Raw genomic sequence first — 10,818 nt, forward strand, 5'->3', positions numbered from 1 at the left:
CACAATGGACCAGATTTTCACTCAAAGCCATTGAGAGGGAAAAATAAGTTCCTTATGTGAAGTTCTGGGTTTGCCAAGAGGCATTTGATAAAAGCCAGGGAAACACAGTAGTAGGTCTGTCACCACAGGACTCCCCTATCTGGCCCCACTCTGCTGATCTCAGAATGCCCAGCTGCCTCGCAGGTGTAACGGAGACCAAACGGCAAGTCCTGTGGCCTGAACACACCCAGTGCAGAGAGCTCCGGCCTCTAGCCACGCCTGGAACCTGCACTTCTTCCCTGCAGAACCAAGAAGCCCAGACACGACCTGACTGTGCGAACCCTTCCAGAGGCAAGGGGTCTGCTGGCTAGGAGAATCTGTGCTGAAATCCCCCTCATCTTTCCTTACAATCATGGGTCAGATTTGAAGCCCCGATCAGTCCCCACAAGCCAACATTCCTAAATCCTTTCCCTCACTCTCCAGCCCATTAAAACTCACCCCAGACCCCAGATCTGGGAGATCAGATTTGAGCTGCCTCTCTTATCTCCCTGATGGTCAACCTCGCAGTAAAGCCCTTTCTTTCCTCAGAAACCCGTACCATGGTATTGGCTTCTATGCACGTAGAGCATGAGCCCCTTGCTCAGTAACATAGATATTTTTCATTCAAAGCTCCCATCAGAGCGGCTGGTCCCAGTAAAGCCCAGGCCCTGAGTGCAATCCTGTCTGTGAAAGGCTCCAGGAGGGTCTAGATGGCTCCACCCCACATGCGTACACTGCATGACTGCAGCTGTGTCTGCCTGGCATTACTGGCACACGCTGCTCCCCGCTGCTCACAGGTTTTCTGCTTAGGGCCTAGGCTCCTCCTGTCCACCCGCTCCCCCCACGGCTCTCCAGGTTGCGGCCACCCTAGCTCTGAGAGGAGAGGGAGACAGTGAGACGGACCATTTCTGTGAAGACTCTGCTGCAGGTTCCTCCTGGGCAAAGAGCACAGCCATTTCTGCTTTTTCCCCACCTTTTGAGCTCGATGGACTTGCAGAGCTGAGGCTGCCTCAGGGCAAAGCCATTCTGCCTCTTGTCAGAGCTCATTCTCACCTTTCCCTGTCACCTCTCTGATTCTCTCACAAGCAGCAGCCTCTTCATAAAACTTCTCCCCTGCCCCAATCTCCCAGCACTGCCCCTCCCCATCTGTACCTGGAGCCCAGGAGAAGAGGCCTGGGCTGAGCCTGCATCTATAGGGAGGAATTCCAGTCCCAGGAGCCACCTCCTTCCAGGCCCTTGGTCCCTGTAGTCCCAGCTCCCGACTGGCCCAGAACCCAAGGTGCCTACCGTGGGGGCTGCTGCTGTCCCCTGAGTGGTCTGCGCTGCAGAGCAGGACAGGAGATGCCGGGGCTCTCTTTGCAGCCTCCTCTCTTGGGGGCCAGAGGTGCAGCAGGCTGGGGAGGGAGGGCAGAACTCAGGCGTGCATGGCTGGGGGTCCTGGTGGGCTGGAACCTTCCTGCAGGGGTGGGATTGAGCTCACCCAGCTCCACATGCCTATCCCACTCTCCTGACTCCTATCACTCCTGGGAGTTGCCTGTCCAGCGCATTCAGGATTATTAGACAAAGCAGGACCGGAGCCCCTTCCAGAGTTAGGCGAGCCTGCTTGGCTTCATGCATGGGCCTTAATTAGAAAATTCATCTTAGCCACACAACAAAATGAGATTGAGGCTTCAGCGACAGCTAATCCTTTGTAGGAAATGAAAGATGCCCTTACAATGAAGATTTATTTTATGTTAGCTTTTCCCCAAGCACTCTTAACTGACTGAGTAATGTAGTAATGATTACTCTGATATTTCCACATGCGCTTTTAAGAATTTATAAAGTCATCTGTCTTCTGAGGAGCCTGGGGAGCTACTTGAGTGGTACAGTGAAAATGGAAGAGGGGAGAGGCTCCTACCCTTCTGAGACTTCAGAAGAATCAATTGCAAAACATCTCTTGGAGTTTGGAGACTCGGGGAGCAGGTGTGAGGATAAACTTCCCACAGAAGCAACCCTGGGATGGTGACTAAATATCCATCAAGTCAATGACAGGTGGCTTGGATGGGGGTGGGGAGACAGTGAGACCAGAGCAACAGGCCTCTGAAAAGGGAATTGGATGCAACGTCAGGGAAAAGTCGACTTGGATGCAACCTCAGGAAAAAGTCGCCATCCCAGGGCTTAGAGGGGAGGGTGTGGCCCAGTCACGGGAGGCTCCTGACCACTGCTGAGGGGACGACACAGAGGGCCTGCCCAGGGTAAAGCATGCACTAAGTGGTCCCAGCAGCCCCTGCGTGTGTAAGTGTGCATGTGGTCATGTACACACATGTGCATGTGTGTGGGCATACCTATGTGAGTGCATGTGTGTTTGTGCACATAAGTGTGTGTGCACGTGTGTGTAGGGCATGGAGGGTGTGGGATAAAAACGGAGGCACTGGCCCCTGAAGGCCTTTCAGATATGGATCCCATAAGCACTGGGAAGCCAGGGAGGGCAGACGTGGAAGGCTGCAGAATCAGAAACGCAGCCTCCTGGGGAAGGGCCCTGGGACCCCATGAGCCAAGCTGTGGGTTGCTCATGGCACACTGCTGACTTCCTGCCGGCTTCCTCTGGAAAGCTCGTTGAGATCCTTCCCTCCAGTTCTTCCCTGGCCCACGCCCTTCCTGCACACATACTACAGTCTCCTCTCTGCTCTGCGAGAGCCAGCTCATCTCCACTGCCGCTGGAGACAGGCAGCCTGGGGAGCAGTCTAACAAAACGGTCTCCAGAGGCGCAATCCCACAATGTGTGAGGGGAGGGGTCCCGGCCTGCGGTGGGGTGGAGGGGTTAATTACTGGGGCCTGGCAGGTGTCCACACAGGGCCGTGTCGACTTCTAGATCTCCAAAGAAGGCCTGGAGCTGCTGTCTCTCCGGAGCCAGGCCTCACTGCTGCAGGCCTGCAGTAGAACCCTATGGGCCTTCCTAAGGTTTCAAGTGGGGCTTTTCCTAGATTGGGTGTTCACTGGTTGCTGTAGACCTTGGACTGTTTTCCAGAGCTCCTAGAAGGTTCGTTCAGCCACTTCTGGTTGTTCCTGATGTTGGAAGTCAGGGGACGGGGGTTTGCAGTCTTCCAGTTCACCATGTGGACAATGTCTCTCCCTTAAACCTTTTACTACGTAGGCCCTCAGATCTTTCCTTTATCACATTTGTAACCATTTGGCACAGCAATATTTCTCTTTTTATGTTTTTTAACTTCTGACGAGTCAATTTGCGTTTCAGTTTGCTTTCCACAGAACTTTAATCTGAAGGATTTGATGTTGTGTAGTCATAGGACTAAAGCTAGCTGTAATGACACTCACATAAAGAAGAAAGCTGTGTGAGTGCATAGCTGCATTTGTAGACAGTTCTCTTTGCCATTTAGAGGAAGTGCAGGGAATCGTCCAGAGCAAATATCCCCCTTGGGGCCACATCGCCGAACACATTTTGGATAGTTGTTCTTCTGTTTATTGGGCAAAGTGAGACTTCTTTTTTCCCTTCAAGAGTCTTCTGCCTGTGAATCTGTGAAGCATGTTTGTCTGTCCGTGCTCCTATTCAAGAACACAGGCCTTTCCGGTCATTTATTGAGAGAGCCATGAGTGCTACTCTAGTTTGTTTACTTTGAAAACTACCTGGAAATGTCTAGCTATATTCTGTTTATTTTTATTTAAATAATCTAATTACTATTTGAGCCTGTTTATAAAAAGAGAGCACGACTCTTCATCACAGAATACGGTGCAATAGTCGTTTGAGTCATGCCTTCTACCTATGTTTAGTTTATATGTTGGGATCTGCGTTTAGTCCACACTCAAAAAAAGAAAAGTCTTCTCAAATTGTCTAGTGTGGTTATATTTACCTTTATCTCTGTTGTAACAAACTGCCAGAAACACAGCGGCTTAAAACTAAACGAATTTATTATCTTACAGTTCTGAAATTCGAAAGGTAAAAGGTGCCTCACCAGGCTAAAACCGAAGGCGTCAGCAGGGCTGTTTCCTTCTGGAGTCTCAGGAGAAGCTGTGGCCTTGCCTTTCCAGCTTCTAGGGCATCCGCATTCCTTGGCTGGTGGCCCTTCCACATCTTCAAAGCCAGCAATCTTGGGTTGACTCTTCCTCAAACTGAATCACATCAACATGGACTCTTTTGCCTTCCTCTTCCAATGTAAGGCCCCTGTGATTATACTGATCCCACCTAGATAATCCAGGATAATCCCCCTTTTTAAAAATCAGCCGATTTAGCTACCTTAATTCCATCCCAATCTTAACTTCCCTTTGCCATGCAACTTAACTTATTTGCATGTTCTGGGATTAGGATGAGGACACCCTTGGGGCAGACAGTATTTAATTTTGTTTATCACAGTCGTGTTTTTCTACTTTTATTGTTTAAATCATTTGTATTACTTTTAAAATTTTACACATATGGTTGATTTAATCTTGTGTCTTTTGTCTTTCCAAGTAATTCAACTGTTGTCTAGCATATAAATATTCTAGGCCAGGTGTGGTGGCTCACGCCTGTAATCACGACACTTTGCGAGGCCGAGGTGGGCTGATCACCTGAGATAAGGAGTTCGAGACCACCCTGACCAACATGAAGAAACCCCATCTCTACTAAAAATAAAAAATTAGCCGGGCATGGTGGTGCATGCCTGTAATCCCAGCTACTCAGGAGGCTGAGGCAGGAGAATAGTTTGAACCCAGGAGGCAGAGGTTGCGGTGAGCCAAGATAGCACCATTGCACTCCAGCCTAGGAGACAGAGTGAGATTCCATCTCAGAAAGAAAGAAAGAAAAAGATTCTAACAAAATCCTGAATTCTATAGAAAGAGAGATACAGGGAGGGTATGTTTCAGAGGCCATGGAATCTTTGAGACGCACAATCTTTGAGTTAGAATGTTGAGACCCCAGCCTACCAATGACAAAGCTGACTTTTGGATATTTGGTGTTTTGACTCTTGATAATGTTGGAATTTCTTGTAAGATAAAAATTCATTCATTTTGACATTTCAAAGCATTCCCATAATAGCCATTGTTACAGTAAGTCTTTTAATTTTTATTGTCATTTATCAATATAGTACAAGAGCAAAGATTATAGTGCAACTTTATAAAGGAAGCAGAAGTGTTTCCAGGAGGGGTTAGGAAAATTGCTGCCGGAGCTCAGTGAGTTACTGCCCTCAGGCCACGTCCCACCTGCCACCTGCGTTTGTAAATAAAGTTTTATTGGAACACAGCAAGACCATTTGTTTATGTAGTGTCTATACCTGCTTTTGTGCTACAAAGGTGGAGTTGAAGAGTTGCCCCAGAGATGGTGTAGCCCACAAAACCTACACTGCTTACTATCTGTTCCTTTACAGAGAAGTTAGCTGAAACCTGATAACAAATTCATGACAAACAAGAAAAAGACACCATGGTGTCACTAATGTGGGCTGTGAATGGTGTTTTGGGCTTTCAAACCAGAGGAGAGGAGGGAGCCATGCAATTAATTCCTTGATAATTGCTGACTCCAAGATATGAACTTTTAGTAATTTTCTCTCACAAATTGACAAAATGAGGCGTGCCCGCGGGAAGATCTTCTGGGGAACCCAAAGCAAAGTTTGAGCAATTCTTAGTAACAAGCATGTTGCAGGTCTAATTTCTGCCCTATGTTCCTAGGACAAGCTTGGAATTGATTGATTACTTTTATAGTCTACCCTCCATCCATTCCCCATGGAACACTTTCTTAAACATTCAAAAGAAAAAGGACAATTCAAGACAAAACAAAACCACATGAAACAAGATTTTATCACATAGATAAGCAAAAGCAAAGCAAACAGCAGGAAATAATCTGGTTAATAAAAAATATTTTCTAAATACTATGTTTCCAAAACAAAACAGCTAATAACCTTATATCAGCAGTTCACAAGTGGGGCAATTTTACACCTCAGGGAGCGTTTTGCAGTGCCCTGAGACGGTGTTGTTGGCTACATATGAGGAAGTAGTGTGTAGTGAGTGAGTAATTTTATGCTGCTTTTGCATCCATTTTTAAATATAGCTTTAATTTTTTTATACCTCTGTGAAGCAGGGCTCAGTCACTCTTGACACAGTTTCCCATACTATAACCACCCAAATGGCAGTAGCTGGTGGACAGAGATAAACAGCAGAGGCATCTCTCCTGCCTGGCAGGCTGGGCTCCACTTTCCTGCCTTGCCTTTAAAAGGGCCATTCAGACATTTGCCTGAAACTCAAAGGGACCACCTCTCAGTCACAGCGTGACCTCCTGGAACTCATGCCGGTTGGCTTTAAACCCACCAATTAAAGCTCCCACAGGACATCTCTTGGGAGTGGGTCCCTTCTCTTGTTGTGTCCTTGAAGCTGTGCCCAGAATCAGACCCCTGAAGGGCAGCAGCTCTTTTGTCTGGGCCTCCCAGCTGCTGGGAATAGCAGTTACCAGCTAAACTGATATAGCTTCATTCAAAACAGGTTGCTGGTTGAATCTAGTGGGTAGAGACCAGAAGTGCTTTTAAACAACCTACAGTGCACAAGACCACAGCAGAGATTTACCAGTCCAAAACGGTGGTAGTGCTGACATTGAGAAACCCGGCTTTATTCAAAAACTTAGGTCTAATTACTGAATGGTGTACTTCTAAATCAAAGTTCTAATTACTGAATACAAAGGCCTATGGCTAAGTACCCTTTACAAAGACTTAATTCTGTCACCCTTATATGAAGACCTGCTTGGTTACAAATTCTGGGACTTCAAAATAATCTGGTAGAATGTTCGAGAACTGTCAAAGGTTGATGAGGGCAACATTTACTATCTGAAATAAAAGGGCAAGGTTGAGTTAACTGCTTACTATAGTAAAAGAGAGCTATGGGAGTCAGGTACAGTCTCTGAGCAGCGTAAGGGGTGATCTCACAAAGGTTTACTACAGTAATGGAGAGCTATGTGAGTCAGGCACCATCTCTCTGAGCGGCGTAAGGGGTGATCTCACAAACGTTTACTATAGTAAAGGAGAGCTATGTGAGTCAGGCACCATCTCTCTGAGCGGCGTAAGGGGTGATCTCACAAACGTTTACTATAGTAAAGGAGAGCTATGTGAGTCAGGCACCGCCTCTCTGAGCGGCGTAAGGGGTGATCTCACAAAGGTTTACTACAGTAAAGGAGAGCTATGTGAGTCAGGCACCGCCTCTCTGAGCGGCGTAAGGGGTGATCTCACAAAGGTTTACTATAGTAAAGGAGAGCTATGTGAGTCAGGCACCATCTCTCTGAGCGGCGTAAGGGGTGATCTCACAAACGTTTACTATAGTAAAGGAGAGCTATGCGAGTCAGGCACCGTCTCTCTGAGCGGCGTAAGGGGTGACCTCACAAAGGTTTTCAGTGGATGAAAGAGCACTGCTCTCATCTGCAGACGCAGGGTTATTGCTGTCATTGGCTGGCACTGGGAGGCATGTTTATTGGAGGCTTTCCAGGCCTAACTTTCTGGGTGGAGGGCCTGACCCCAGTCGGCTTGCAGAGATGTGTTCACTGAAGATTGCGGTCTTGACCGCTTGAGCAAATTTAAAATTAGTTCTGTGGGCAACTTGTAACCATGGCTAGGCAACAGTCTTTCCTAAAGTTGTAGGATTACAAAAAAATTATCAGATGCCTTCACTCTCAACTGCATTTCAACTGACTTGGTCATAGAATCAAAATTTTTGCCATGGTCTACAAGGACCTCTGCAGTCTGGCCTTGGTCCCTCTCCCGTCACCCTCTCTGTCCTTTTCACTTATGAAGCTCCAGCGTCTCAGAACAAGCCAAACCCTTCCCACCCTCAGGACCTGTGCACCTGCACATCTCTCTTTCAAGAATGCCAGTCCCTCACTTCATGTGGCTGGCAACTTCTCATTGCTGGATCTCAGCTCAGAGATGTTAGCATTAGAGAACCTTTTCTTGGCCACCTGGGATTTAGAAGACTCAAGTCACCCAAACCCAGACACTTTCTTTCCTGACACTGTGCACTCCTTGCTATCTAAAGTTATTGTATTTGGGTCTCTGTCAACTCATCTCCCATCACTCGAGACCACTGCTTCCAGATTGTTAGCCCGATGAGGGCAGGGCCTTTCCTGTCTTATTAATGCCTGCATCCCCAGCACCAAGAAACAGCCACGTAGAAAGTTCTCAATAAATATTTACCATGTCACAGTTCAATTAGAGAATGAATGTATGAATACATAGCTGGGTCACAGCTTCTTAACCTGAGAAATTAAGGTCTCCATATAACTCATCTCTGAGGTCTCTCACAGTGCAAAGAGGGAACAAGGTTATGCCTCATACAACACCAAGAGAAACACACCGAGGTCCTGCCCTGCAGGGTCTGCCTGCGCGGTGGAGAGGGCTGCAGTAGGGGGAGGAACAAAGAGCGGTAGGAATGGAGACGAGGGGTTTTGTGTAGCTTGCAGGGTGTTAAGAGGGTGCTGGGGAGAGCTTCAGGCCAGGGCCGTCATTCCTTCTAGTTGGTCTTAAAAAATGTGTTGAACTTGTCCAGGTGTGGTGGCTCATGCCTGTAATCCCAGCACTTTGGGAGGTCGAGGCAGGTGGATCACCTGAGGTCGGGAGTTTGAGACCAGCCTGACCAACATGGAGAAACCCCGTCTCTATCAAAAATACAAATTAGCCAGGTGTGGTGGTGCATGCCTCTAATTCCAACTACTTGGGAGCCTGAGGCAGGAGAATCACTTGAACCCAGGAGACGGAGGTTGTGGTGAGCCGAGATCGCACCATTGCACTTCAGCCTGGGCAACGAGAGCAAAACTCCATCTAAAAAAAAAATGTGTTGAACTTGACTGGGTGAATGATGAAGCCAGGCTACTCAAGGGAAAGGAGGGACATGAAGATAGGACTTGGAAGTGAATGCCACCTGAAGAGAGGAAACAGACTGGTAACAGTGGGAGCAGGGGCGGGTGAAGGGTCTGCAGAAGGAGCAAGAACCATGTGTCGGTCTGAACTCGTAACGCTCCCTTTCTCTGCTGAGAAGATGCATCCAGAAGGCTTGGATTCTGCAGGCAATTTGGAGCCACAAAGGCTTTTATTAGAGGGGGACTTGAATTTTGGGGAAGGATGGTCGGTATTGTGTGAAGGATGGTGTGAATGGGGTGAGCCTAGCAGCTGGGGACCCCCTGTGAATAGCCCACAGAAATGACAAAGGCCTCAAATTTGCAGAGGCAGTAGGAATAGAGAGGGAGACAGGTTTCAAAAAATTAATAGAGAAACTTGACAAAATATGGTTATTTAATACACCTTTCACTCAATTGATTCTAAAATCTAAACTCAGTCTCTGAGATCAAACACTGTCAACGTGCCTGGCACAGCGCCTGGCTCCTGGGTCTGCACAGGTTGGTTGGACCTGAGCACGAATCAGTCCAAATGTGAACCTTTGGTTTGCTTCTTTTCAGAGCCAGGGAAAGCTGGCAAGGGACAATTGGAACCAAAAACAGCATATGTTCGAAGGAAGGTATTAAATTGGCTCAGATTTCTCATCTCTGGGCCAACATGAACTTTTACAGGCAAAAATTCTTGAATTTATGTAGAATTGCGTCTTGCCTGAGAAAGGTACATTTCTAACACCTTGAACCACAGAAAAGAGGAGGTGGCTGGACCCCTGATCACACTCAAGCTTCATCTAATGCCAAACAGAACAGGTTGGCCTCACCTTCAATCTTAGCTCTGTCTGACACTTACAGAGTCATCAAATGCCTTGGCTGTCTCGCCGTCTGGTGCTGTTAGGGATTATCTAAACAGGGAGAATCTCAGGAGCGGGAGGGGAGCTGAAACACATCTCCATGTGCAGAATGTGCAGGGACAGCCCCAGGCAGGTGGGCGTTTCTCTCGAGGGAAGTGAGAATCCAAGAAATGGAGAGATTAGGCAGCCATCTCAGGATTGCAAATCTAGTGTGTAGTAGGAGTGAGCTGGGGCTGGGAGTGGAGAACTGGACAGGCCTGAGTTATTACATACGCAGTTCCTAAAACCCTGCCGGACCTGTTCAGTACTGAAGGGTGCTTGGCTCACTCCTGGCCCCTCAGTGGGTCTCCCTCCCAGTGGTGAGCATTTCCTCTTGGAAGGTTTGCTCTTGTACTACTTTATCAAGGGAACTTTGATAAAGCTATGATGATGGGGCATCTTACTAATTTTCATCTTGACAGATTTCTTATGGAGTTTATTTAGTGACCCAGCTTGGAAAGGTATTCTGGGAGCCAGTGCCAATTCAAGGGGCAGGTGCTTGTATGTGTGTGTGTGTGTGCAGGTGCTGTGTGAGCACACAAGAGCACGCAAGGTGGGGTGGGGGGATGTTGGTGAGAGTTTGTCGCTGTGTATCCTGGCCATTTGCACATTATACAAGCATAGACAACATTAAGACTGGGCCTGTATGCTTGGGCGTTACTGTCCCCAGGGTCCCAGCCACCTGTGCTTTGCTCAACCCCTTGGAAGCCTGGGAGGATCAATAACTGGGTACCCGGCCCCCATCCTCAGGAAAGGCACACAGCCTGGCATAGAGAAAGCCCCATGTCAGGTTCTGCACCCTCCCTAAAGGTGAGCAGCAATGCTTTAGGGTAGAGAGGCGACCAGAAGCCTCAATAGAAACAAACCATGTTTGTTAATGATGATGGGGTCCCAGGAAAACATTTCTGCCTTTAAAATAATGATGAAAATTTTAAATGGATTTCTTTTGGTAAAAAGGGTACAGGACTCAGAGTCAGAAGGCCCAAGTGTGGGTATGTCCTATGAAAGGGAAATTATCTTGGGCTCCCAAAATCACTAAAGAAAACTTAAACTGGAAACTGCTTAGGGCAAACCTGCCTCCCA

At 47.7% G+C, this 10,818-nt stretch overlaps 1 annotated feature.

Annotated features, from left to right (window-relative positions):
- Positions 6,510 to 7,709: an enhancer, noted in NCBI's record as "P300/CBP strongly-dependent group 1 enhancer chr11:134721213-134722412 (GRCh37/hg19 assembly coordinates)". NCBI's record gives its function as "activates an origin of replication core promoter dependent on BRD2, BRD4, P300/CBP, MED14 and CDK7 cofactors, with strong dependence on P300/CBP, by STARR-seq in HCT116 cells {active_cell/tissue: HCT116}" and the evidence as "EXISTENCE:reporter gene assay evidence [ECO:0000049][PMID:35650434]".

Source organism: Homo sapiens, chromosome 11 (genome assembly GCF_000001405.40).
Source record: "Homo sapiens chromosome 11, GRCh38.p14 Primary Assembly".
Taxonomy (NCBI): Eukaryota; Metazoa; Chordata; class Mammalia; order Primates; family Hominidae; genus Homo; species Homo sapiens.